This window comes from Homo sapiens, chromosome 3 (assembly GCF_000001405.40).
Source record: "Homo sapiens chromosome 3, GRCh38.p14 Primary Assembly".
NCBI lineage: Eukaryota > Metazoa > Chordata > Mammalia > Primates > Hominidae > Homo > Homo sapiens.
The window spans coordinates 8,748,248-8,775,807 of record NC_000003.12 but is presented as its reverse complement, the minus strand read 5'-3'; the positions used below and the strand labels follow the sequence as shown (position 1 = coordinate 8,775,807).

Below are 27,560 nucleotides of genomic sequence, written 5' to 3'. Positions count from 1 at the left end.
ACCAGCTGTGTGGCCTTGGGCAAATGCCTTCCCCTCTCTGAACCTCGGTTTCCTCATCTGTAAAACAGGCATTGTAATAATCCCAATCATTCTGTTTGTTATGAAGCTAACAACCACTTTTAAATGACTCTCAACTCTTTCAGGCTCTACTTCTCCAAAAGACGTTACATATTCCAAGGATCCTGCGTCTCAACAAACCCTTTCTTCTGCAAAAGAACAGCCTGCTTTTATTCCAAGCTCTGAGATTCCTTATAGGAAGCTGTTTCTCTCCAGTTATGCCATGTTATGCCTTAACCTGGGCCAACAGTGCCTACACACGGAGAATGCAATGGTTGAGGCCAATTCATTAACAGGGATTGTTTAGCCACATCCGTTGTTAATTGACAACATGTCTATGGAATTAGAAGCCTCGTGTTTATCTCTGTCATCGCTTTCTCTCGGGGAGAATGGCACACAGGGATCAACAACATCCTTTCTCACAAAGAGCCCTCCTTCAACTTGATTTTCATAAAAATACCATTCTAGGAAGCAGGGGTCTGAGTCTGGTGACTCATTTGCTAAGGGGTGTTCTTGGGTAATCCATCAGCCATTTTCTCAACACATTTTCATTCATAGGCATGCATGATAGGAAAATGATGGGCAAATATAGAAAGGACTGTGATATATGGGACTAATTCTAGGCACTTATAACTGGATTGGGAAGACTGAGCACATTCATACTGTAAATATAGTTTTTGGTCATGCTAGAGAGGTTCAGAAAATAATGATTTCTCAGTGGGCCAGGGTGGTCAGGAAAGGCCTCCCTGAAAGGTAAAGAGTCAGTATCCCCATCTCACCAGTTAGGGTTCAAAGGAGTTACTTTCCTTGCCTGGCACAGTGACATTCCCCCTACCTTCCAAGATGCAGTTTGTCTGATTAAATTGAAAATATTATGAACTCCATCCAGAAAGACTAATAAGATGGAGGTTGATTGGATCAGACACTATTTTCATGGAGTGGTCCTGGGGTCAGGATTGTCAGCATGGGAATAAAGATTTGATTGTATAGTTCTCTGCTGTTTGTGAAGCACTCTTCATGTGCATTAAGTTTGGTTTATACACACAGCCTCATGTGATCAGCACCTGGGGAAACCAAGTCTCAGAGAAGTTCAGTACCTTAGCCACGCTGACAAAACGTGGTAAAATCCAGATGCTAGCAAGCACTTACTGCTGCAGATTCAGAGCTCTCTCCAATAGGAAAGCACATTTTTCTCTCTTTCTCCACCCTGCATGGAACACAGGAATGAAAACAAAGGCTGGGAAGTCCAAAATCACACAGGCTAGAAGGAATCCGTGCAAGTTCTACCTATAAGCAGTGGCCTCCTGACACAGCATCCTGGCACGGCCTCAGGAACTTCCCAGGTCAGCCCATGTGCCCTGATGTGCCTGCATCCGCACAGAGCTATAAATGTAAGAAGATCAAGTGTGCCAGCAGCAGGCTGATTGCTACAATGTGTTCTCAGCCTTTATGCCTGAGAGCATGTCACTGACCCCCCTCCTGGAGCTAGGAGCCCAAGCAGAGGCTGAGAAGTTATTTGGGGGCAGGCTGGGGAGGCGGTGATGTTAGGGAGGGGGTAGGTTGGATGTGTTTATAGCTCATTTCCACTCTGACAATAGAGCAAAGGCCGCTTGGGCTTGGATCCATGTTGAAATAAATGTGCCAGGGCTGGAAAATTCCCAAGATGCTAAAACTCAGACCCAGTTCCCAGAGGCAGAAGTGGGTACAGGACAGGTCATTCTCTGGGCAGGATACCTTCCCCAGAGGGCCTGGTTCTGCCCATGGAGATGTTTATTTCTTCCCTCCTTTCCCCCTTCCTTTTATCCTTCTGTATTTAACAAATACCTGAAAGGTGCCTATTCTATAGTGACCTAGGCCTTTCGAAGTACAGGTATAGACAATATTGGCCCCACCTTTAAGATGCTTGGATACAAGAAAAAAACAACCCCATTAAAAAGTGGGCAAAGGACGTGAACAGACACTTCTCAAAAGAAGACATTTATGTGGCCAACAAACGTATGAAAGAAAGGTCAACATCACTGATCATTAGAGAAATGCAAATAAAAACCACAATAAGATACCATCTCATGCCAGTCAGAATGGTGATTATTAAGAAGTCAAGAAACAACTGATGCTGTAAAGGATCTGGAGAAATAGGAATGTTTTTACACTATTGGTGGTAATGCAAATTAGTTCAACCATTGTGGAAGATGGAGTGGCAATTCCTCAAAGACCTAGAACCAGAAAGACCATTTTACCCAGCAATCTCATTACTGGGTATATACCCAAAGGAATATAAATCATTCTATTGTAAAGATACCTGCACATGTATGTTCACTGCAGCACTATTCACTATAGCAAAGACATGAAATCAACCCAAATGCCCATCAATGATAGACTGGATAAAGAAAAAAATGTGAGATATATATATATATATCTATATCTATATAATCTATATATAGATATATATAGATTATATAGATATAGATATATATAGATTATATATATATAGATTATATAGATATATATAGATTATATAGATATAGATATATATAGATTATATATATATAGATATATATAGATTATATATATATAGATATATATAGATTATATATATATAGATATATATAGATATATATATATATAGATATATATAGATATATATGCCATGGAATACTATGCAGCCATAAAAAGGAACAAGATCATGTCCTTTGCAGGATGGATGGAGCTGGAAGCCATTAACCTCAGCAAACTAATACAGGAACAGAAAACCAAACACCACATGTTCTGACTTATAAGTGGGAGCTGAATGATGAGAACACAGACACAGGGAGGGGAACAATACACACTGGGGCCTGTCACGGGGGCAGAGGGAGGGAGAGCATCAGGAAAAATAGCTAATATGTGCTAAGCTTAATACCTAGGTGATGGGTTGATAGGTGCAGCAAACCACCATGGCACACATTTACCTATGTAACAAACCTGCACATACTGCACATGAACTCCAGAACTTAAAATAAAAAAAAAAAAAAGATGCCCGGATACTCAGACAGATGAAGACATTTGTAAATCAGGGATTGCTGAATCTCTGTCTGTGATGGTTCATTTTGTGTGTCAGCTTGGCTGGGCCATGGTGCCCAGATATTTGGTCAAATATTATTCGGGATGTTTCTGTGAGGGTATTTTTGGATGAGATTAACATCTGGAACAAAGTAGATCACCCACCATAACGTTGGTGGGCTTATCCAATCAGTTGAAGGTCTATATGGAACAAAAGACTGACCTCCCTGAGCAAGAAGGAATTCCGCAGCAGAGGACCTTTGGACTTGACCTGCAAAATCAGCTCTTCCCTGGGTCTCCAGCCTGTCAGCTCACTCTGAAGATTTTGGACTTGCCAGCCTCCATAACACATGAACCAATTCCTTAAATGAATCTCTTTCTCTACATATATACATCCCAATGGTTCTGTTTCTTTGGAAGACCGAAAGACACCCTGTAATGTCACATCTTTTGTCCATGCCTACAGCATCTCTTGCCTGGATCTCCAAGGCCTTCATAATGCCAGTATCTCCTTTCCCATCTTCCCTGTGGCTACCAGCATTCTCTCACCAAGCACAGATTTGAGTACGTTGTTTTGCTTGCAGTCCTTCCAGGCACCCCACCTTCCCCACCAATGCCTTCTAACCTCAGTCATCTTTACACTAGCACCTTCATGATTTTTGTTATATCAGACTTTCTCTTTGCTGACGTCAAAAGTAAGCAGAACTGAGAACTGAATTTCCTCCCTGTTATTCAGTATCACTCAATATTAAATTCACATTTAACACTATCAGAAAGTATTCCATCCCATATTTTGGGGAATGTTGGGTTACAGAATAAAACCCATTCTCCTTTACATGGCCTTGAAGTTCCTTTAGCATCAATAAGTACAGTTATCTCTTGGTATCCATGGGGGATTGGTTCCGGGAGCCTTCAAGGTACACAAATCCCTGATATAAAATGAAGCAGTATTTGCATATAACACGTGCATATCCTCTCACATACTTTAAGTCATCTCAAGATTACTTGTAACACCTAATGCAATGTCACTCGTCACTGCATTTGTGTGCATTCAGTGTTGTAGGTGGCACATGACAAATTCAATTTTTGCTTTTTGGAACTTTGAGGATTTTTTTTCCTGAATATTTTCAATCCATGATTGTTTGAATCCACTGAACTCACAGATACAGGGATATAGAGGGCCAACTGTATGTATTAAGTGCTGGCAATGTGCTAGGCACCAAGCAATTCATCTTTAGTCCTTCCTCCAAAACGCCAAAGTGATTCCCCTGCACCACTCTCTGAGAAGTATGCCTTTTTTCTTTGCTTCCTGGAGAACTCATTCTGGAGCTCTGAAATCCAGCTACCTCTTTGTAAAACGATCTCCCAAGTATTACCTCAGCCCCCAGCAGTCCTCACTTCTGTAACATCATTTATTGTTGTCACACTGCAAATATTAGGTTGATGCAAAAGTAATTGCAGTTTTTGCCATTATTTTTAATAGCAAAAACCACAATTACTTTTGCACCAATCTAATATGTGTTTTTCTCCCTGGCCGAAGCTCAAAGGTGAAGGAGCATGTCTTATTCATTGTTAGGAGTTTTCAAGGGGACCTCTCTATTTCCTGCCTGGTTTCTGCACACAATGAGAAATAAAACAAAAGACAGGAAATGGGGATCACACTATTACTGTTGTTGTTATTGTTGTTGTTTAGATTAAAACTAAGTTAGAGAATTTACCTTTTGCATGAGACTAAATAGCCCTGTTAGGTGAATCCAGAATTAGGCTGTCTCACGGGCTACGCGAGGACCACACAGGTAGGCAGGCTTCCCTACAAAGGGTAGAAGAGTCTGTCCTTGGTGAAGTGGCTCAGTAAACTTGCTCCCTAGAAAGCAGCTGTCTTCCAGGAGAAAGAAGGGCAGGCTTGGTTCTACAGGCCAGTGTTTTCCTTCTCACATTCACCGGTCAGGGGCTCATAGGGAAAAATCTGCCTTCATCCAGCCGTGGAGTGAGGCAGGGGTGTTTTACCTGCTAGGATTGAACCCTCAGATTGCACAGATTATACAGTTTCAGAAAACCAGAGGGACAGGACCTCAGACATTAGCTATCTTGACCAGTGCTCTCATTTTACATATGAGGAGACTGAGGCCCAAAGAGAAGGGGCTTGCCCAAGGTCACTTCATTCTCACCTGAGTCGTCTGTAACTTTAATCTGTAATTTTCGAGGCCGATAGGTACTATTGACTAATATTGATTAATACTGCCTGCCACCCCTTGGCAATGCTGTCAAGATTCCCAGCCCCATTCTGGAATGATTACTCAGCTAGAACCCTGGGATCCAGGTGCTGTAAGGTTGGCCCCTGGGATATCTCGGCATGGGGCTGTAATTGTGGATTAAGGAAACCCAGTCCTTGGCTAACTCAAGTCTCTCCACATAATAAAAAGACGGAGAAGTGAAATGTCAGGAGGAAATACACATTTAATGCATTTTAAAGAGCCCTGTTTATTTTTGAATCCTGGCCTTTTTTTCTGACTTAATTCTTGGCCACTGTAAATTACTTCAAAAAATGATTTTAGAATAGAGAAGGGGCAGGGAGGCTGAGAAGCTGTCTTTAACATTTTATCTTCCTTTGGCATCATTTAGAATTTTAATTCCGAAGCGCGACAAGGAGGCAGAAACGGCTCTTGGGCGCAGACAAGCAGAATCACTTTAAATGAAGACAGTGTTGTGCTTCAGAATTTCCTCTAAAACTACCGAAAAAATAACGCCTCTCCCAGCACTGCTTAGAATAGAGGCCATTTCTAATTCCTCATTAACGGGAATAGGAACAAAAGTATTCCAAAGCAAAGACTTATTTGAGTTCACTGCTAAAGCCGCTACATCAAGCTGGAGGTGTGGGGGGAGAGAAAAGCCTGAAAATTAACATCATTTTTGGGAAATAATCAGTTTAAATGCTTTTGTAACTTCATCACTATCTACCCGGGGAAGAACATTATTATTCAAGCCTCCTATGTGTCTCGGAGTCAAGAGCTTCTAAACCAAGAAAGGAAGAAACGGGCGGGTTATTGACGAGTTCCCTCCCTCTCGCAGTTTTAAACCACTGCAAAATAAACCCATTTGTTAAGGCTCTGGGACCAACGCTGGGCGAACCAGCTCCGCTCCGGAGGGGTCTGCGCGGCTGGCCTCGCCCGCCCCCTAGCGGACCCGTGCGATAGTGCAGCCTCAGCCCCAGCGCACAGCGCCGCATCCAGACGCTGTCCGCGCGCGCAGCCTGGGAGGCGCTCCTCGCTCGCCTCCTGTACCCATCCAGCGACCAGCCAGGCTGCGGCGAGGGGATTCCAACCGAGGCTCCAGTGAGAGACCTCAGCTTAGCATCACATTAGGTGCAGCCGGCAGGCCATCCCAACTCGGGCCGGGAGCGCACGCGTCACTGGGGCCGTCAGTCGCCGTGCAACTTCCCCGGGGGGAGTCAACTTTAGGTTCGCCTGCGGACTCGGTGCAGGTAGCTGGGTGCTAAGCAGGGGTGGACGGGATGGCTAGGGCCGGTGGAGCCATCGGGACCCGAGTGGAGGTGGTGGGGTGCCTCGCACTCCTTGTTCCTGGAGGAGCTCGGGGTGTTCCGAGAGATTGTAAAGTGACTTCTCGGGATTGAGACTCAGAGTCCTTGATTATCTGGGTCCAAAGCGCAAGTCAGGGGTTCCAGAACTTTCGAGGCTGCCGGGCTGGGGAGGAGCCCCGCGGGAGGTGTCTATGCCAGGGTCTGGGAACAGCGCTTGGGCATCTTGGGCTTTGAGGCAGGGGTTCCCCCAGCAGGGACTGCAGAACCGGGTTTCCACCGAAGCAGGTGCTGTGGAAGTTCAGGGAGTGACGGCCGACCGTCTTAGAAAAGGGGGTTAGACGGGGAAGGACCAGAGCTGGGGTTTCCCAGGCAAGTGGCTATTTGGGGATTTCCGGAGGAAGTACTTGAATTAATGTTTACTAGGAGAGGGGCTGGTTTGGGGGTCCCGCGGCAGGTGGATATGCTGAGGGTCGGAGCCTGGGGCGAGTAGGTAGTTTGGAGATTCCCTCGGGGAGGTGATTTGGTTTTAGATTCCCACTCCCGGAGGAACGTTGCTGATTTTGACCCTCCCTTCTCCCCCAGTGGAAGCCGCTGAACATCCCGAGGAACTGGCACGCTGGGGGCTCTGGGCTTGTGGCCGGTAGAGGATTCCCGCTCATTTGCAGTGGCTCAGAGGAGGTACCTCCAACGGGGATTTCTGGGGTGGCGGCTGAGCAACCCGAGGCCGGCGGTTGTGCCCTGTTGTTTCAGATGAGTTGGGTTCCTGGGAATGGGACAAGCACGCCCTACCCGCGTCGGAAGAGAAACGCGGCGGTCTCCTCACGGCCCTCCCGGTTTGTTTCAGGGTGGACCCAGCAGATCCGTCCGTGGAGTCTCCAGGAGTGGAGCCCCGGGCGCCCCTACACCCTCCGACACGCCGGATCCGGCCCAGCCGCGCCAAGCCGTAAAGGGCTCGAAGGCCGGGGCGCACCGCTGCCGCCAGGGTCATGGAGGGCGCGCTCGCAGCCAACTGGAGCGCCGAGGCAGCCAACGCCAGCGCCGCGCCGCCGGGGGCCGAGGGCAACCGCACCGCCGGACCCCCGCGGCGCAACGAGGCCCTGGCGCGCGTGGAGGTGGCGGTGCTGTGTCTCATCCTGCTCCTGGCGCTGAGCGGGAACGCGTGTGTGCTGCTGGCGCTGCGCACCACACGCCAGAAGCACTCGCGCCTCTTCTTCTTCATGAAGCACCTAAGCATCGCCGACCTGGTGGTGGCAGTGTTTCAGGTGCTGCCGCAGTTGCTGTGGGACATCACCTTCCGCTTCTACGGGCCCGACCTGCTGTGCCGCCTGGTCAAGTACTTGCAGGTGGTGGGCATGTTCGCCTCCACCTACCTGCTGCTGCTCATGTCCCTGGACCGCTGCCTGGCCATCTGCCAGCCGCTGCGCTCGCTGCGCCGCCGCACCGACCGCCTGGCAGTGCTCGCCACGTGGCTCGGCTGCCTGGTGGCCAGCGCGCCGCAGGTGCACATCTTCTCTCTGCGCGAGGTGGCTGACGGCGTCTTCGACTGCTGGGCCGTCTTCATCCAGCCCTGGGGACCCAAGGCCTACATCACATGGATCACGCTAGCTGTCTACATCGTGCCGGTCATCGTGCTCGCTGCCTGCTACGGCCTTATCAGCTTCAAGATCTGGCAGAACTTGCGGCTCAAGACCGCTGCAGCGGCGGCGGCCGAGGCGCCAGAGGGCGCGGCGGCTGGCGATGGGGGGCGCGTGGCCCTGGCGCGTGTCAGCAGCGTCAAGCTCATCTCCAAGGCCAAGATCCGCACGGTCAAGATGACTTTCATCATCGTGCTGGCCTTCATCGTGTGCTGGACGCCTTTCTTCTTCGTGCAGATGTGGAGCGTCTGGGATGCCAACGCGCCCAAGGAAGGTAGCCAGGGCTGGGAGACCCAGGAGGAGGGAGCCTGGTGGCTGGGGGAGGCCCTTATCTTGCTGCCTCAGAATGTCCAGGGGTCTGTGGACTTCCTGGGGGATAAGCGGGTTTGAAATCCCACAGAGTCACTGCTCTGTCATCCCTTGACCAAGTGACTTAGGGCAATTAACCTCCCTGAGCCTCCACTTTCTCTTCTGTAAGGTGGCAATAAGGATAAAAGTACCAACTGTCACCAGGCATAGGGGAATGCCACGAGAAAATGCAGTTAAAGTCCTTAGCACAGTCCTTGGGCTGCATATGGGCTGTATGGTTTACTGTGGTGGTGGAAACAGGTTCAAGGGACTCCATCTGCTTTCCCACGTGGTTAGGAGGAGGTGGTGGAGGTAAGTTTGGAACCCCTGGCCAAGCTCAAGCTCCTTCAACTTTAAGTTCACGTTAAGATGAACTTCCACTTTAAGTTCAAGAAATCCAGCTGAAGCCAAGAAGTCTGGTTTGGACAAGGACAGCCTTGCAGGAGTGGCAATTTGTCCAACCAAGCACCTAGTAGTTGAAGGGGGTGTTGGGGGGCAGAGGAGTCCAAGGGAGAGGTGAAGACAAATCCCTGAACTCCTCATCGAGTGGAGGTGATGAGTCTCCATGCAGAGAGGTGAGTACTGCAAGGAGTGGTGGGCAGGCTTAGGGAGGAGAGCGCCCAGGACTGAGACTTCACTTCCACTTGGAGGAAAGAGAAGAAAGCCTTGAGGGGGACATTCAAGTTTGAGGGGGAGGCTGGGTGATTTCTGTAGGTGGGGAATGTGCCTTCCAGGTAGGAGGACTGCTGAGGACAAGGCTGAAGGTGGGGCAATTGTCCATTCTTGGCCTGTGCCAGAAAGCTAAGAGGAGGGCATAGAAGAGGGCGACCTAGGGAGAAAGCTTGGAGGAACAGAGGCACCCTAGGGCTCTGGGGTTTGTGGCTGGTGCTGGGTGGCTGTCCCCAAGGCACAGAGCACCAGGCAGCTTCCTGTCACTCCCTGCCCCCCAACCCCTTTCCAGTAGCTCATTTGGAAAGACCAGGAGGGGGTGATTGCTGGTGGTGAATGATTTATAAGTTTTTGTTTGAAGGCAATCCCATAACGCGTGCTGGATGCTGGGGACTTCAAATGTTTGTAAAGAAAGACCAAAGGATTTGCTTTCACCCTTTCTGCACTCCAGACACTGCAAATGTCCCATTTCTGTGTGCAGTTACTACTGCTCCCAATAGTCTCAAATACATGCATCCTGGGAAGCCGAAATCTCAGTGCCAGCTGCTTTCATTCAGTTTGGTAACTTTGCTTTGGTCCTTTCTGAAAATCACAGACTCCAGGCTTTATGGAACCCTCCCAGTTAGCTCAGTGTTTGCTTTAGTGGCCAAGACACTGGTTATTCAATATTTACCGAACACCTGTGGCCCCTGGTAACAACTTACAGAGAGGGTTCTAGGGCCCCGAGAGGGGAAGGCACTTGCACCAGGTCACACAGCAAGTCAGAGGCACAGCTGACGTTTCCTATGCCAGGGTTCTTATGAAGGACACATGATGAGGGAGTGGGGTTGGGCAAAAGCCAGTAGTGGAAGTCTCTAAGTAAGGCCTTAGGCCTCACCTGTTTCCTGGGCAGATCTGAAGAAACCAGATCCAGGTCTTGAGGAGCTCGAACACCAACTATCAAGAAAGTGAAACCAGCACCCTTTGGAGTAGATACTGGAGAGATGTGGGGTCTAGTCCTCCTCCAGCCCTTACTAGCTTTGGGATGTTAGATGAGAGATCTCTTTATTCCCCTTGAGCCTTAGTCTTGCTTTTAGAATGAGGACATTTCAGCATTCAGTTAATTCATTCAACAGACATTCCACTCCTCTCTCCTTGGGGTCCCCTCGCCTCTCCCATTCATGTCTTGAGTCTCTGGTGATTTTTCTCCTTCCCTTTCCTCCCAGCTCCCTCCTCTATGGCTTCCTGCTTTTCAGCCCCCTCACTTGCACTCCTCTTCTCACTGTGTGTCCTCCCTAAAGAAGGAGAGTGTGTGGTCAACACGTCACACGTACCGTGAAGCGAAGTTTAGATCTTTTCTACACTTTAAAAGCACGTCAACAATTGATTTCTTTGTCTTAGAAGCAAAAGAGAGAGGAAAAAACAGACACACACAGATCCTGGCCAGAGTGGAGGTCATAGGCCTCTTGAGTGTTTGTGGTCCTCTGAGGATTTTCCTGGGGACCAGACCTTCAGTAGAGACGGGCTCCTGCTGAAGCCCAAGGGGCAGGGAAAGAAGAGGACTTTAAGAATTTCAGGTCCTACTTCCCTTTGCTTCTTTAGGAATTCACAGGGAAGGGTGGGTGTTGCATGAAAAACCCAGGGCTTCTCTTGGTCCTCCTCAGCATTCTGTCTCAGGTACTGAGAAGAATCCAAACACAGACCGGCAGGGATTCATGATGCTGCTGCAGCCGGGACCTCCCCGCTGCCCCAAGCACACAGCCAGGAGCAGGAGCCCAGTCCAGATGTGAGCACCTCATCAAACACAGAGGTGATGACGTGGACTCTGGCCACCACCAGCCTGGCCACATCATGCCTAGGCCTCGGGGATGCAGGGGTCAGAGTGGCTGTGAGCTCAGTTAGAACACCAGCCGTGTGTCCACTTGGCCTTAATTTGGATAATTGCAACTGGCAGGTGGAAATGGTGTCTGCATCACTTTGGAGATACCTCTCAATCCAGAGGCTACCAGCAAGTGTTAAGGAAGGAATAAAAGAGAACCACACTTGAGCTACTCAAGAGGTTATTATCGGAAAAGTGGAATTAATGCACAGCCCCACTTTCCTCTCCAAGAGGACAGAATTTAGATGCGGAAATATCTAGACCAGGGCCCCTTACTCCACTCATCACCTGAGGAGCCAGTACTGAAGCCTGTGGCTAACAGTGTGATGCCATCCAGGGATGCTTGCAGGTGGAGCAGGCTCACAGGGAGGCAGGAGAGGTGGGGCACACATGGGTCTGTTCCTGCTTTATCATGAAAACCCCAGGGAGGTAGGGGAGCTTAGCCAATGGCCACCCATCAAGGCTGCCAGAGTGGGTGGGGAATGTCACGCTTCTGGTGGCTGTAGATGTGGTGGCCCAGGGACCCGAAGTCCCTCTCTGCTTCAGCATTTGCTCTCTCTTTTCCATCTCTCCCTTGAGCAACTTCATTCCCTCATATGCCTTCACAAATACCAAGGGCTGCCTTTGTGGGTTTAAAGCTCACCTTGTTCCAAAAGTAATGTGCAGTGGTGGCCAAAAATTTAGGTGCCTCAACAAGATAAAATAGATATAAGGAAACTGGGATAAAGCAGGCAGTAGGGAGAAGAAAAGGAAAAAAAACTATTACAATAATAGTAATAATACTATTAATAATAATAGTCTCTCTGTGTATAGACAAGCTCTACACCTGGTTAGTTGTTATAAGAACCAAAGAGGAAAACTTTAAGTTTAAATATTTCCATGATTCCGAAGAAAGAGCCAATGGGAGCATCTGGGTAATTTGATGAGATCCATTCTTCAAAGCAGCCGGATGCCGTCGGGTGCTGACTTGGTGAGGCTGGTGAGACTGGATGCCCCATGCAGGGTTTGACAAGCCCTTTATATATCTTTCAGAATTAAATTCCAAAGCCAAAGATTCGGCACCAGCCTTTTCCCTTGAACCCAGTGGCATTTTCTATGCTGATTGCAGGGGCTCTGACCCTGGGGCAGTTCTGAGGGAGGAGATGAGGATGAGGAGGGAGTTTGGTAGAGTGGGGCTGTTTGCATTTCTAGGGTTGGTTGATGTTGATTGGGTGCGGTGGACAGGATTTGGGGTCTCTGTCTCTAGTCTTCTCCTTCCAGCCTCTCCCTGGTAAAACGCCCAGTCCAGTGTCCTTAAGCCAGTTGCTTTACCTGCTCTGAGCCTCCACCTCCTCCTCCATGTAATAAGGATAGCACGGCTCACTGCCTGGGGTTGATGTGAGGATTAAATGGTGTGACCTATGGCCCCTTCCTGATGGACAAGATGGGGATTCTTGTCTTGAGCCTGGGTGGAGGGAATGGGAGTGGACAGCAGGTGATGTGTCCGGGGAGGCTGGGAGGTGGGAGAGAAGCTTGTTAAGGCCGGAGAGGTGGACTATGAGCCCTATCACAGCAGGGACGCTGCTTGTCCTGTTCCCTACTTGTTAAGCCCAAGTCCAATGTGTGGGCTGTTTTGTGGCACAACTCCAGGGGATGCCTTTTACCCCAGGGGATGCCTGGCACAAGGCTGCACAGTCATTGATAGCTCAACCAGTGCTTGCCAAATACGTGGAAAATGGGAGCAGAGAGGTGAGTGAGACGGGGCAGGGATGGCCATGAAGAGCTGGACTCAGGAGGAATAGGGACTTTCTAAGCAGCTGTCTGAAACAGAACTGGCAACCTGGAAAAGAAAGGAGCGCCCCATCACTGGGGCAACCAAACATCTGTCAGGAGCGTTGGACTGGGAGGAAGGCTGACAGGCACAGGAGGCCTGGTTTGAACTGTTTCCCCATCTGTAGAATGAGCTTCCCAGCCCCTCCCTGTTTCTGTGGGACTGAGGATCCTCGGGCATGTCCCGTACACCTTTCCTTTCCATGAATGCTGTGCCCGAGGTGTGGGGGACCAGGCCCCTTGGAGGGGCTTTTTCTTGAGGTGACCCAGTGATGTGGAGAGCATGGTGGGCCGGCAGGAGAAGCTTGGACAGGATATTCACTCTGGGCCATGAAGAGTGCACAAGCTCGGCCCTTCTGGGTACAAATCACAATTAGATGGACAGTTAACTTCAGACACTTATATGATTAAGTAATTGTGTGTTCTTTTATGTTCTTAGCTAATGTTAATGTTTTCCCTTAGGGTTTCTGCCCTGTGGTGATTTCACTTCTTTTCCCCCCAAAGGTTTGATAAATAACAGCTAAAAAGACAAAAATCCAAAATCAAAAAACTCAAAAGCTAACCCCAAACCAGCCTCTTGGGTGAGGCCCTGCTACATCATGTTTCCATTTGATGGCTGTCTGTGTGGGTTTCGGGAGGGGTGAGGAGGGGAAGAGGGGTTGTGGAGGGCCTCGGATCAGGAGGAGATTAGCAGGTGCCCTGGCTGCATCACACTGTCTGTGGAGGCTGGGTGAGGTCTGTGGCCCCGGGCTGGCGTGTCTGGGTGTGACCTGAGGCACTGGCCCACCTGCTGACCTTACCACCTTGCCCTGGCAACTTTTGGAAGCAAAGGCAACCCCACAGGGCTCCCTCCCAGGGGCTGAAGCCGGACCCTGTACACCTGAGCCCACCTGCCAGAGCCCCCAGCCCCAGGAGACAGTAGTGGGAAGTAGCCAGTCCCCTTCTGGGACCTGGTCTTGTTGCCATCTGTGTCATTTGGGGCAATGTCTCTTGATGGCCTCTGGACCTCTGCCATTCCCATCTGAGCAATGGGGATAACGGCTCATAATGGAGCTTTGACACCCTCTCTGGACCTCAGCTTTGGTGAAGGGAGGAGTGGGATCAGTTGGTAACAGCAGCCACCACTGGCTGAGTGCCCACTGTGAGCAAGGCCTGTGCCCAGGCCATTTCTGCTCCTCACCCTAATGCAGCAAGGAAGGGGCCCATCATGGCTTTTCTACAGATGATGAAACTGAGGCTTAGAGAGGTGTGACCTGCCCACGATCACTGCTGAGTAAGTGATGGAGCTGGGATTGGAACCCAGCCATCTTACACTAGAGACTGACACACTGCATGACGACCCCAACCCCTGCCGCCCCAGGCCAGCAGTTTTCCCGATGATCTACACCTTCGACTTGGGGATCTCCTGGGCGCTTGTTAGATCGCTGGACCTGCCTCAGATCCATGGAAGCTGAACCCTCCCCCACTATCTGGCCCCAAGGTCCTGACATCTTGGGCTCTTCCTGCAACACCTACACACACACACACCGAGGTACACATCCGCTGATGGCACTGCCCTCCCAGCATTCTGGGTTCAGTGCCATGCCCCTCTCATCCTCCCTGTGTCCACCAGTTCTATAATCTCAGCTGTACCACATGCCTCAGGTTGGCACTTTGTTTCTCTTTCCATTTTCACCTTCTTGGTTTAGAGCACGATTTTTTCAACTTTGGCACTATTGACATTTTAGGCTGAACAGTCTTTGGCGTGTGTGTATGTGTGTCAGGGAGGAGCTGTTCTGTGCATGGTAGGATATTTAACAGCATTCCCGTCCTCCACGTGCTACGTGCCATTAGCAACCTCCCTGCCAGCTGTGGCCACCAAAACTGTCTCCAGACATTGCCAAAAGTTCACTAAGGGGCAAAGTCATCCCTGGTTAAGAACTGCTGGCTTAGACCCCTTGTTCTGCTTTTTAAACTAATACCTGGCAGTGAGTACTCTCTTGTTGCCCTGGTCTCTGGCCAGCCTGCCTTGTGTACCCCCAGCCAGGCCCGATGATTTGCCGCTTTCCACAAGTTCCTATGGCCTTGCTGTCTTTGCACCTTTGCTAATACTGTTCCTGCCATGGGAACGCCCACCCCAGTTTCTTCCACGGATTCCCATCCTTTGAAGCCCAAGTCCATTGTGTGGGCTGCTTTGTGGCACAACTCCAGGGGATGCCTTTTACCTCATGGTCTATGAACAGGGTGTTCCTAGGAGCTTTGCAGTGCACAGCCTGAACAGCTGAACATGGCAGCCTCATCCAGTGCCCCTTTCAGGAAACCATCCCTGTTTTCCCAGTTTGCGGGGCTTCTTCCTCTGAATGCTAAGTCATTCACTCCAAAAAACAGTTACTGATGCCTCTGCAGGCTCCTGTCCACACAACCTCTGCTTTCATCTGTCAACCCCCAAGTGAAGAGAGTTGGCAAGGGGCCCTCCCAAGCCCTCGCCCTCCTGCGGCCAGCTGCTGACATGCATAAATGTGGGACCGTGTGGTCAAGGTTGATCACAGAGTTCTGGGTACACCCACAGACCTCTGGGAGGGACACCCACAGTTTCTGCTGGGTTAGTGTCAGATGGAGCGGCAGTGCTGACTTCGGGTGTGGGGCTGAGCCTGCCCACAACTCAGGTTTCTGGGGTTCAGAATCTCAGGTTTCTGAAGTTCAGAATAGGACTTAGGTTGTATACAGGGTGGAATATCCTGCTGGTGCAAGTCAGTGTAGCTGATGGAGTGGGAGTCATTTTGGGTACAGGCCTAGCATTTTAGCAAAGGGGCTGCAGGTCCAGTTGGCGCATGGTGGCAAGTCCAAGGATGCTGGGAACAAGAGTATTGAAAGAGAAACAACTGTCTCACCTGGAGGAGGCGGGAGGCCAGTTGGAAGGTTCTAGCTCTGGTTTAGAGGTACCCTAGGCTGGGTCTTGTCTAAGGTATGGGTGGGAGAGAGGTGTAACCAGGTGGTGTCCAGTGTCCCAGCCCCAAGGCCCAAATCCTTACTCCTGATTCCTGCACTGAGGGGCAGCCTCTGCCAGTATCTCCTTTTGTGCTCAGCCGGGAGCTAAGGCTTCCTGCCCTTTAGTCAGATGCTTTGAGACTGTGGGCTTCTGCCCTCCCGGCCCATGTCTCCCACCCCAACGGCACTCTTGCACATTCTGTTTCTCTCCCTTTCTCTCCACCTGACCATATCTGAGGGCGAACTTAATTTTCCCAGAGGGAATTGCATTTGAGTCCAGTCACCTTACTGGGAGGCCATATCCTGTGGTTGAGCAGGGAAATTATTTGTAGCCCTTCCAACATACTGACAGCGGTGGCTGATTTATCAGGACCTCTTGCCTGCTAATTTCATGCTTCAGTCCAATTCAGCTCCTTATTGAACTCTTCCTATTTTCCAGTAGCTGTTAGCAGCCTAAGGACGGAGCTACCAATAAGACACAGTCCCCAGCCAAAGAGTGTCAGAAAATAATGACAATATGATGGGGTGATGCTGTTATAGAGCTATTTATTTACCAAGTACTGCAAATACCCTGAGAAGGCATTAGTTGATCTGTCTCCCTGGGAAGAAATCAGGAGGGTTTCAGAGGGGAAGTGTCATTTGAAAAGGGTTTTTGAGGGGTGAGTAGGAGCTTACTATGCAAAGAAGCAGATGCACATTCCACATTGAGATCAAGAACGGTGGACAGTTACTTTATTCATTTCTTCTTTCCTATCTATACGATTTGAGCTAGTTGGAAGGAAGCTGCTCAAACTTTAATGCGTATTTTGTTAAAATGCAGATTCTGACTCAGTAGGTCTGGGGTGGGGCCCCAAGAGTTTGCAGTTTTGACAAGGAAACAGGTGGCGCCTATCAGATGCCCTGTAGCCAGCCATTGGCTACACTTTGAGCAGCAAAGCTTTAACATATGACCTTTTACCAACACTCACTGTTTGCCTTTACACGTGTGGCCCAGATTGGATGGAGGGCCTTGTCATTCCTTGAAGGGTAGCGAAGGGCTGGTCGTTTGCAGGAAGGCCCTGGCTTGTCTTCTTCCAGAATGTGGTTATTCTCAGGCCCAGCCCAGTGAGTCCAGCACACCTACCAGATTGGAGCAGTGCTGTCAGAGAAACCCATTTTCAACTCTGTAGCCCGCCCGTTTGGCTCTTCACCCAGACCTTGCACTACACGGGGTGATCACACATCTGTGATTTTTAGGAAAATCACAGTTGTAAAACGATGGTCTTTTCTAAGAAGGCACCCTGTAGTGTATATTGAGACTCAATCTTTCTATAAGCATACATTCAAAAATCATTTTCTTAAGAAAGGGCCTTCCATAGTTTTGTTCCCAGATGCCCGCACAGTCCTGTAGGAATGAGGGACTTACATCTGAATTCCTGGTACTCTGGGGAGGCCTTGTGGCAAATGATTGGTTTCTCAAGTGCGGGCCTTTTGTGAAGTTGATGGGCTTGCTTTGACTCAGCCGATCTTGGCCACATGTCTTTGAGTCATATGAAACGTGCCGGTAGCCTCAGGAACAGCACAGCCCGGAGAGGCGGTGGCCAGCTGCCCGTCAGCTGTTCTGGGCTAATTTGGGGTTTCAGTGCTGGGGTGGAGAGAGTGCCGGGAAATCCTAACAGGGGAGTTCTTGGGGCTTGAGGAAAGCCAGGCTGGGAAGGATGGAACGTGGACCTCTGCCTCCCACCCCTCCATGAATCATGGTGCCAAGTAGAAATGCAGAGTTGATTCTCCCAGGGACAGAATTGCCCAGCAGGGGATGTTGGCGTTTGGTGTGTGGCTGTTTCTGCTCATGTCCCCCGCTTGGCACACAAGAGACTGCACTTGAAAACCACCCCTAGTCCCCAGCTCTTGTGCCCAGCAGCCCCTTCCCCAAATGCTTTACCCCCTGTTCAATATTCTGCTGGTCTTTTAAGTCTCTCTTTCTCATCCTGAGTCTGGAAATCACTTGAGGGCAGGGACTCCACTTAGATCCTCGCACCTACTCAGTGCATGGCATGGAGGGGAGGCAGAATGAAAGGATGGACGTCTGACCTCTTCCTCCTCCGAGAAATGCCGTAAGTGTGAGGCCAGCGGCCCCCGCGGAGTCCGGGTGGACAGCCTCTCCTCTGCATCCTCCCTTCCTGGCAAGGATGGGAGAGAGTAAGTTTGCAGTCTGGCACACGCTCAGGACTCGATCGTGGGGCAAGATGTGATTTTTATGGCAGGAAAGTGGGAGACACATGATTAGAACTGGCTCTTCCAGCGGAGACCCTAAGATCCTGCTCCTGCCCACAGTTGCAGCAACCTTCCCTTTTGGATTTCTAGGTCGCTGGTAGAATAAGTTTTCCAGAATGGACTGTCTAGAGTTCCTTTCTTGCCAAGTGATTCAACCTGAGGGCTCTGGGGTTTGATTTTTTTTGTTTTTTGTTTTTTTTTTTAACTTTTGAGAAGTGTTGGGAAAATGGGCTAAGGAGAATTTCTTTAATTGTTCTGGGATTGGGAGTCTTCAAACTTGGATTTTAAAGAATTGCTATAGTTGGTCATACCTCACATACATTAATATTAATATTAATACTAATATTAATACTAATGTTAATGATAATTACTTGAATAAACACTTTGCCAGTCACAAAGCCCTTTTACACGATCTTTAATTTTTTTTTCATTTTCTCAATAGCCTTATGAGTGCCGCCTCCATGCTACAGATAAGGAAACTGAGGCTCAGGCAGTAGTTCACTCAGATGTAGTTCAGAGAGTGATTAGGTGGGAGGGGGATCCAGGCCCCAGGACTTTGCATCTGGATCCTGAGTTCCTGGGTTCTCCTCCCTGCCTCTCAGCCAGTGTTTCTGTGGGCCAGGGGGCGCCCACTGTGAACAGCTTCCTTTCCTGAGGGACCCCGGAGAAGGTGCTCGCTGCATAGCAGACCTTTCTGAGTCAGGCCCATGAGGACTTGTAGGTCCTCCTCTCTGCGCTGACATCATTGTGGCTGCATTGTGTGGAAATGCGGAGGGAGGCCAGTCTCACCGGGAGCTTGGGAGTGGCCATGGCCCTTCAGAGAAGCCCGGATGAAGGCATGGGGCCTGGCCTTTGCACATTTGCACTAAGCAGTCATTGGGTGTGGTGGCAGCTCCTTTTGGCCAAAGGCAATGCCCAGAGAGGAGCTCAGCTGTGAGCATTTGGCAGGCAGCTCTTGGGCAGCTAGAGGAATGGGTACTCAGGGGGCACCACAGCATCCACAGCGTCAAAAATGGGGAATGGGCACTGCTTACTGTCAGTGGTGGACCACATTTGTTTTGGGAACAGGGAAGTTGCTCTCTGTCCCTCAAATCATAACATTAGGCAAACTGCCTAACCAGCTTCTGTCTTGGCTTTGGGACTGACAGGATTCACTAATTGGAACCAACCTGACCTGTGAGGATGCTAACCTGTTTTTAAAAGGAATCAGTCTTCATTACTTTTATGTATGAACACAGGGTGACTTGCTGTGTGCCCTTGGGGAAGTGACTCTCCTTCTCTGAGTTTTACTTTCCTCATCTATAAAATGAGGATAAGGCTACTTTGAAAACTGTACTCTCCTGGGCGGGCTCGAGCAGTGATTTTGATGGTCAGCATTGTCACATCCTCACATGGAAGTAACATTGTGAAATGTAAGGACAATATTTTCCATGCTTTTTTCTGTTCCAAGTCCTCTGTAATCCTGTGAAGCCTTTCTAGCCATCAGAAAGGGGAATGCTATGGCCTATACAAGATACAATAAGTGCAGAAAGCAGGTTGAAGTGGAATCCGTAGTCGCTCACCTGCTCAGTAACCATCAGTGGCTCCCTATTGCCCATACAGTAAAGTGGGCAGACTCTGTCTGGATTTAAGATCCTCCTGTCTGGTTCCAAACCATCTTTCCAAACTCTTCTCTTGTGAAACTCCCCTTTTCCCTTCTTGCCTCCCGGGAAGTCCCTGAGTGATCTTGGCTGTTCTCAACCATGGGCCTTTATTCCTGCTGCCTCAGCCCTTTGAAATATGCTCCATAGTCCCTGCTTTGTGTTCCAAATAGATCTCCCCCTGATGGTAGAGCTTTGAAGTGCTGTTCCTGGAAACTTAACGACTTTGGGTGACTAGGATATTGACAAATTAAGAACAGCCAAATGTGCCCTTAGTGTTAGTAACTTGACATGAGCAGGTTCAGCTTAGAGAGGGCCCTTCATCCCCTGAGGACCCACTTGAGGTCACTCGTGTCTGTGGCCACCAGGTGGGATCAGAGGCACTGGCCAGACTTCTCCCACCCAGACCAGCCTCTTGGAGGCGGAAGGATTGGTGGCTACTTAGGAATTCATTAACTATTTTCTTCTTTGTTGTTGATGTTTCTGTAGTTTTTTAAAAAATAGGATAAAAAAGTTGAAAGATCCAAAGAGTAAAGAGTGAGACCAATAGCTTAAATGAACAGATAAGATTGTGCCAAATAACTGTATCCAACTAGGCAAAACAGTGTCTTTCTGTGAACTTCATCCCTGATGCTTCCTCCTACCTCATTGCAAAGCTTTATACACCTATGTCCTTCCCTTTGTGGCTGGTAGGTTGTAAATATTGACTTTTGCACGTTGATTTTTGCCTCTTTCATTATTTCTAAGACATTCTGGTTTTAGTCTTGTGGGCGAACCTTCCCTTTGTGGCTGGTAGGTTGTAAATATTGACTTTTGCACGTTGATTTTTGCCTCTTTCATTATTTCTGAGACATTCTGTTTTTAGTCTTGTGGGTGAATTTCAATTTTGTTGGTGAAATATTCCATCAGAGTTTCTAAACTTAAATTCATCTTCTTATCCATCCAAATCAAAGCAAATTTCTTAACAAAATATTTTTTGTTAAAACCAGTGAATTTAGTAATATTGATCATTTTTCTTTCATTTTTCCTCCTTTCTATTCTTTATTATTTTAATACTAAGAGTTAAATTTCCATTCTTTGCTTTCTAAAAACTCTCTTTTGCAAGAATTTTGTTTTCTGTCTATCGTAGCTTGCTCTTGTTCCAACAGGTGCACCAATTAATTAGACTAGTGGTTCTTAACCTTGAGGGTGCATTAGAATTACAACATTCCTGAGCCCTACCTCCAGAGGGTAATTCTGGGGTGGGGCCTGAGAATGTGCATTTCCAGCAAGTTCCCATGTGATGTGTCGCTCTGGGAGGGGGGCCTACTTTGAGAGCCACTCATGTAGACTTACCAACAACCAACTGCCTTTCTTCCCTTGGTGCTTGAAGACTTCGCTGACAAACATCTCTGTTCTCTTCATCAGTGGCCACATCTAGATTTTGCACCTCTTGAGCATCCCCAGTGAAGAGTCCTTCCCTGGATTTAGCTCTGAACTCTAGAGTTATTTGTCAAAAAATTTTGCAGAGCAGACAGAAGGAAGACTAGTGGATTTTCCCAGCCTTCTTGCAGTTGCCTTCACACACAAGGAGGTGGCTGAACAGAATTCTTAGTTGTTTTCCTTGTGGGTTTCTGGAGATGTTGCCTGGCCTTGTCTGTCATCAGGAGATGTCTGGTTGTTCAGATTTAAGGCCATTGAAAGAAGGCAGATTTTTATCCCCGTGCTTGGAAGTACCTAGAATTAGGATTTTTTTCTTCCCTCTTGAAGTTTCAGTTTGTGACAAGCAATGTCTTGAAGCTGATTTCTGATCATTAACTTTGCCTGCACCTCCATGAGTCCTCAGTATAATAGCCTTTACAGAGTACTTCAGATAACTTCCATGTCACTTTCTTTTTCCTGCATGAGTCTTATTGTCATGCTGAAGCAGTGCTCTTAGGCACAGCTTCATGGAGATGCTTTCAGTTGGTCAGCCATGAAGATGTCATACAGTTTCTCGCTGCCACGCCTTTGCTGGGGCCATTCCTTCTGCCTGGAGCACATTTCTTCCCTGCTCTGCCTGGAAAAACCATAGGCATCTTTGGGAATCAGCTCACATGCCCCGTTTGTGGGGCCAGCCATGACTCTCAGAGTGGCACCCCCTTCCGGTGCCTACCTAAACCACAAGATGTCTGCATCGTGGTGTTTCTCATTTTATTTGATTTGCCCGGCACATGGTCGTGATAGCAGCCATCATTTATTGGGCACCCACTGTGTACCAGGCACTCTTTAATCCTTGCAGCAGTCCCCAGAGGTTTGGGCACTCTCCTTATGCCCATTTAAAGATTAGGAAACCGAAGCTTCTTAGGGACTTCAAGTAACTAGGCGCTGGTGAGGCTAGCATGCAAACTAGGTGTGGCAGCTTTTGGGTACTGTGCTTGCAGACACTCGAAGTTGTAGGCACTCAACATTCATTGGGTGAGTGATGCATGAAAAGGTGGCTGTGATGGATTCAGCTTCTGCTGAGGGAGGTAGGCAGTGGGAAAGCTGCTGGTGAGAGAAAGGCAGAGACAGTTCCAAGCCTGGGCTAAGCCTGGTGGGGAGGGTTTGGAGGACAGCCTGAGGGCATGTCCAGGACAAGGAGGGAGAAGGAAGACAAACTTTGCCTCTTTAGTACCTCATCTTGTGATTCAGGATGTAGTACTTGGACAAGGCTGTCGCTCAGGAAATGATGTTTAAGTCAGATAGGTCTGGAAGTGGCTCCAGTGTTAATTAATGCCCTTTTCTCCTTTCTCCTGCCCCCACCCCCTCAGCCTCGGCCTTCATCATCGTCATGCTCCTGGCCAGCCTCAACAGCTGCTGCAACCCCTGGATCTACATGCTGTTCACGGGCCACCTCTTCCACGAACTCGTGCAGCGCTTCCTGTGCTGCTCCGCCAGCTACCTGAAGGGCAGACGCCTGGGAGAGACGAGTGCCAGCAAAAAGAGCAACTCGTCCTCCTTTGTCCTGAGCCATCGCAGCTCCAGCCAGAGGAGCTGCTCCCAGCCATCCACGGCGTGACCCACCAGCCAGGGCCAGGGCTGCAGCCTGAGGCTCAGGCTGTGCTGGCATAAGTGCTCTGCTCCTAGGTGATGGCGTATGTTTGTGTATAAGGTACCTATCAGTTTGTATCCCTCCCCTCCTTGGGGTGGCTTCAGTGGGGTGGAGAGTGGCCTCCATGATGGAAGATGATAGGGGACTCAGCCATCAGACAACACCCTGGCCTCCTACACGTACTTCTACCACCCTGAACCCACTGCTGCCCTGGGCAGTGAGTGGCTTGTTTTTTCTCCTGGACTTGTAATTTCACTCCAGTATATTTTTACTTCTTCATTCTGGGATATTGTGAAAAGCGGTAAATATAGGATTGGTGACCAATTGGGTCAGGAAGTCCAGTGTTCTGGACTTGGGGTAAGCAGTGGGGTTGGGACCTCAGATGGGAAGGGTGGTGCTAAGATCCTCCTGACCTCAAAGTGTATTTGCCTTTAAGCGAACAAATGCTGGGGTCCTTGGGGACCAGCTTGTCAGAGGGTAGCCCTAAGAGAAGGGGATTACCTTGTAAGACCATCTGGCGCAGTGGACCTATTAGAACTTGGGTTAAAAATGTTTAAGAAGCTAATGTTTAAGAAGCATTTGGGAAAGAAAAAGAAATAAATGTATCCAGATAGGAAAAGAAGAAGTAAAACTATTTGCAGATGACACAGTTTTGTATATAGAAAATCCTAAGGAACTCACACACACACACACACACACACACGCACACAGCTATTAGAACTAATAAGCAAGTTCCGCAAGGTTTCAAGATACAAGATCAATATACAAAAATGAATTGTATTTCTTTATACTAGCAACAAACAATATGAAAACGAAGTTAAATAATTCCATTTATAATACCATCAGAAAGAATAAAATAGGAATCAACTTAACAAAACAAGTGCAAGACTGAAAACTACAAAATTGGAAAGAAATTAAAGAAGGCTTAAATAAATGGAAAGACATCCTGTGTTCATGGATCAGACTTAGTATTGTTAAGATGGCAATACTATCCTAACTGACATGCAGATTCAGTGCAATCCTTATGAAAATCATAGCTGGCTTCTTTACAGAAATTGATAAGCTAGTCCCAAAATTCATAAAGAAATGCAAGGGACCCAGAATATCCAAATAAGCCTTGAAAAAGAACAAAGTTGGTGGATTCACACTTCCTGATTTCATAATTTACGATAAAGGTAATCAGCTCAGTGTGTTACTGGTTTAAGGATAGACATACGGAGCAGAATAAAGAGTACAGATATGAACACTTATACTTACGGTCAATTGATTTTTGACAAGGTTCCCAAGACAATTCAATAGAGAAAGGAGAGTCTTTTCAACAAATGGCACCGAGACAATGATATGCAAGTGCAAAAGAATGAGGTTGGACCTTTACTCACACTATGTGCAAAAATCAACTCAAAACGCATCCAAGATCTAAATATAAGAGCTGAAACTATAAAATCTTAGAAAGAAACATAGGCATAGATCTTTGTAACCTTGAATTAGGCAGTGGTTTCTTAGATATGATACCAAAGACACAAGCAACCAATGGAAAAATAGGTAAATTGGACTTAATCAAGATTTGAAGCTTTTGTGATTGAAAAGACCCTATCAAGAAGGTGAAAAGATAACCTGCAGAATGGGAGAAAATATTTGCGAGTCATATATATGATAAGGGGCTTGTATCTGGAATATATAAATAACTCTTATAACACAACAATAAGGAGAAAAATAAATCAATTTAAAAAATGGGCTAACGGTTTGAATAGACATTTCTCCAAAGAAGATATGCAAATGGCTACTAAGCACATGAAAAAATACTCAACATTATTATTCATTAGGGAAATGCAAGTCAAAATCACAATGAGATTCCAGTTTACAATCACTAGGATGGCTACAATAAAAAGATGGACAAGAACGAGTGTCGGTGAGGATGTAGAGAAACTGGTAGAAATTTAAATTGTTGGTGGGAATGTAAATGGTGCACCTGCTTTGAAAAACAGTTTGGCAGTACCTCAAAAAGTTAAACGTAGAGTGACCATATGACCCAGGAATGCCACTCCTAGGTATTTACCCAAGAGAAATGAAAACGTACATACACACAAAAACTTGTACACCAATGTTCATAGCAACATTATTTGTAATAGCCAAAAAGTGGAAACAACCCAAATGTCTACCAACTGATGAATGGGAAATAAAATGTGGTCTGTCCACGCAATGGAACATTATTAGACTCTAAAAAGAAATGAAGTACTCACACATGCCACAACATGGATGAGCCTTGAAAACTTGCTAAGTGAAAGAAGCCAGGTGCAAAAGCCCACATATTGTCTGACTGCATTGAAATGCAATGTCTAAAATGGACGAATCTATATAGAGTGAATATAGATTAGCGTTTGCCAGGGCCTGGAGGCTGTGAGAGATGAGGCATGACTACTAAGGGTTTGGGGTTTCTTTTTCGGGTGATGAAAATGTTCTGAAATTAGTGGTGATTGTGCACGATTTTGAGAATGTACTAAAAACCAATGAACTTTAAAAAATAAAAATAAACAAAAAAAATTCAACAGATGAATTCAGAGAAGGCCAGCTTGATGGATGAATTCCTTGGAATCTCTTGCCTCTCAGCACTTTTGTTTCTCTATGTGGCTCACTGCTTGAGAGGGATCTCATCATTTTCTTACTCAGTTTTACTGCAAGAGATGATGTCTCTATTTGGCAAAAAGTAACAGCAGTGAAAATATATCCCTACTTTGTAAAGGCACAAGTGATGCCTTGTAGCTGCAGGTTGTTATGTTTTATTTAAAATAGAAATTCACTAGAGGTGTCAGAGGTTTTTCTTACCTAGTGAACATGTTCTCAAATGTCCTCTCAGCCTTGAGGTTAGGACATGACCACGTCTAAGAAATACCTTTAGTCACTAAATACAGGACACTACTGATCAGAGGTTTACTGTCAGGGACTGGCCAGCTGAGTGCATGGTGGGGCACCTTTTAAGTTTCCAGGCACATTTTTGTACTTACTGAGATACAGCAGGAGCACTCTCAAAGGCCACAGATCCACTCTGTCTCTTTATAACACACTTTATTCTTCCTCCATGCTGCAGTAGCCACATAGCCACACACACGCGCATACACACACAATAGAATGAGCTAGCATTGTCTAGAGGTTCTGGGAGAAGAGAGGCTTGCACTGAAATGTCCACGTTCAAAGTCTAAGGATTTAGCACAAGGTCTTCAGTACTACCCGGAGACTGAAGATAGTATCGTCTTTGGACTGCAAAGCATTGCTCAGTGTTGCTGGGACATGCACGAAGAGGGTCAACACCAGCCAGTCCTTGCTCTTTGGGAAGCTAACAGGATGCAGTTCTGGGGCCTCTGTGCACATGTACTGGAGCACTGGTGAGCTCTGGGTGCAAATGCAGCAGCAGTGGGGTCTGTTAGCATTCATGCCTCGCTGCCCACCAGCCAGAGATGCCCCAGGACTCTGCTGTTCCCAGGGAAGTTGCCATCCTAGGAGCCAACAGAGGCCACTGGGGATCAAAGGGACAGCAACTCACAGTAGATTTTCTGACCAGGAGCACAGCCTTCCTGGGAACCCTGGAGTTATAAGACTCTTGGGCATCAGAACCAAGTGGGATGCTTTGTCACTCTCTTCGTGTGAAAGCTCTGGCGGGTACATTGGGTCTTATTATGGCGCAGGAGTCTGTTTTATGGCAAATAAGTGACATTCAATTTCAATAGCCCCACTGGATATACACCCCGACCCCCACCCATCTCCTTGAGAGCATTTTCACCATTTCTTAGTCTTTCCCCAACTAAAGCCTAGAAGAATGAGCGCAGGGGTTCAGAACGCTACCTTGGGTTCAGTTGTTTCTGGCCTCCTCCCCAGACCCCATGCCTGAGGTCTGCCAACCACCTTTCCCTACAGTTTCAGACTTGTTTACAACCATATGCATGGCCGGGGTTGCCAGGAAGTGGGAGCTGCAGATTGTCTTCTGCAATGTATCATGGCTCTGATCATCAAAAGTGAACGTGGAAACTCTGAGGCTTATTTCTTTAAGCGCTGGAAAAAAAAATCTGACACATACTTTGGTCTTCTTTTGGCTTGAGTCTATGTGTTGCCACTTCAGGAAATGTAAGGGGACAATGCAGGCTGTCTTTTAAGAAAATCCTGGTTTCAAAGTGTTTAACACTTTTTGTATTCAATAGCAATGAAACGCCACTTAAGGCAAAATGTGAACACCTTGATTTTGTTCTACTGTGGTGACCTGCTCTGGCACCCCTCTGTAACTGTGCCAGTTGGTGAATGACATGGCTGATCATAAGTTGTCTGCTTCATTAGCTGCTTGATAGAGAGTGCACTAGATAAACATTTGTTTCCATACATTGCTTTGCCCCCGTTCTTCCTCCCAAGAACGGTGACTGGAACTGGTGGCTTGTAGACCCCAGATCCCTGCAGGGCTTCAGAGTTATTGGCCTGATTACGGCACAGATGCATGGGCTGTGACAGGGTGTGGAAGGGGGCCCTGGTCCCATTCTCTGGAATCACAGGTGCACTCAGTTATCAGAGTTCTGTGGGAAGATGCTCTAAGATTCAGGAACAAACATCATGTATGATGTCCCTGAATCTGCTCTGAACCACAGTGGAACTCTGGGGATGATAGGATTCTAGACTGTTACCTTGAAGGAACCCTAACAAATATTTCTTAAAAGTG

General features: G+C 47.8%; 1 protein-coding gene across 6 annotated transcripts in view, besides 4 other annotated features; it reads left to right on the top strand.

Annotated features, from left to right (window-relative positions):
• Window positions 6,031-6,080: an enhancer, noted in NCBI's record as "active region_19394". NCBI's record gives its function as "activates an Ori minimal core promoter by ATAC-STARR-seq in GM12878 lymphoblastoid cells {active_cell/tissue: GM12878}" and the evidence as "EXISTENCE:reporter gene assay evidence [ECO:0000049][PMID:35858748]".
• Window positions 6,195-27,560, top strand: part of OXTR (oxytocin receptor) — a 28,345-nt gene continuing 6,979 nt past the window's right edge. The window contains exons 1-5 of one of the 6 annotated variants that reach the window (NM_001354653.2): window positions 6,195-6,384; window positions 6,465-6,577; window positions 7,217-7,312; window positions 7,479-8,542; window positions 22,584-25,427. In NM_001354653.2, the coding sequence (NP_001341582.1) occupies window positions 7,621-8,542; window positions 22,584-22,831 (1,170 nt within the window). In that variant the 5' untranslated portion in view covers window positions 6,195-6,384; window positions 6,465-6,577; window positions 7,217-7,312; window positions 7,479-7,620 and the 3' untranslated portion in view covers window positions 22,832-25,427. Of the gene's footprint in view, window positions 6,761-7,076; window positions 7,121-7,216; window positions 7,313-7,478; window positions 8,543-22,583; window positions 25,428-27,560 lie in introns of those variants that run through there. The other 5 variants (XR_007095681.1, NM_001354654.2, NM_000916.4 and 2 more) reach the window with 5 other exon arrangements.
• Window positions 6,728-7,399: an enhancer, noted in NCBI's record as "H3K27ac-H3K4me1 hESC enhancer chr3:8810095-8810766 (GRCh37/hg19 assembly coordinates)". NCBI's record gives its function as "activates a minimal SCP1, AML or CMV promoter by ChIP-STARR-seq in naive H9 embryonic stem cells {active_cell/tissue: H9 hESC(naive)}" and the evidence as "EXISTENCE:reporter gene assay evidence [ECO:0000049][PMID:30033119]".
• Window positions 7,691-7,750: a silencer, noted in NCBI's record as "silent region_14029". NCBI's record gives its function as "represses an Ori minimal core promoter by ATAC-STARR-seq in GM12878 lymphoblastoid cells {active_cell/tissue: GM12878}" and the evidence as "EXISTENCE:reporter gene assay evidence [ECO:0000049][PMID:35858748]".
• Window positions 8,072-8,743: an enhancer, noted in NCBI's record as "H3K27ac-H3K4me1 hESC enhancer chr3:8808751-8809422 (GRCh37/hg19 assembly coordinates)". NCBI's record gives its function as "activates a minimal SCP1, AML or CMV promoter by ChIP-STARR-seq in primed H9 embryonic stem cells {active_cell/tissue: H9 hESC(primed)}" and the evidence as "EXISTENCE:reporter gene assay evidence [ECO:0000049][PMID:30033119]".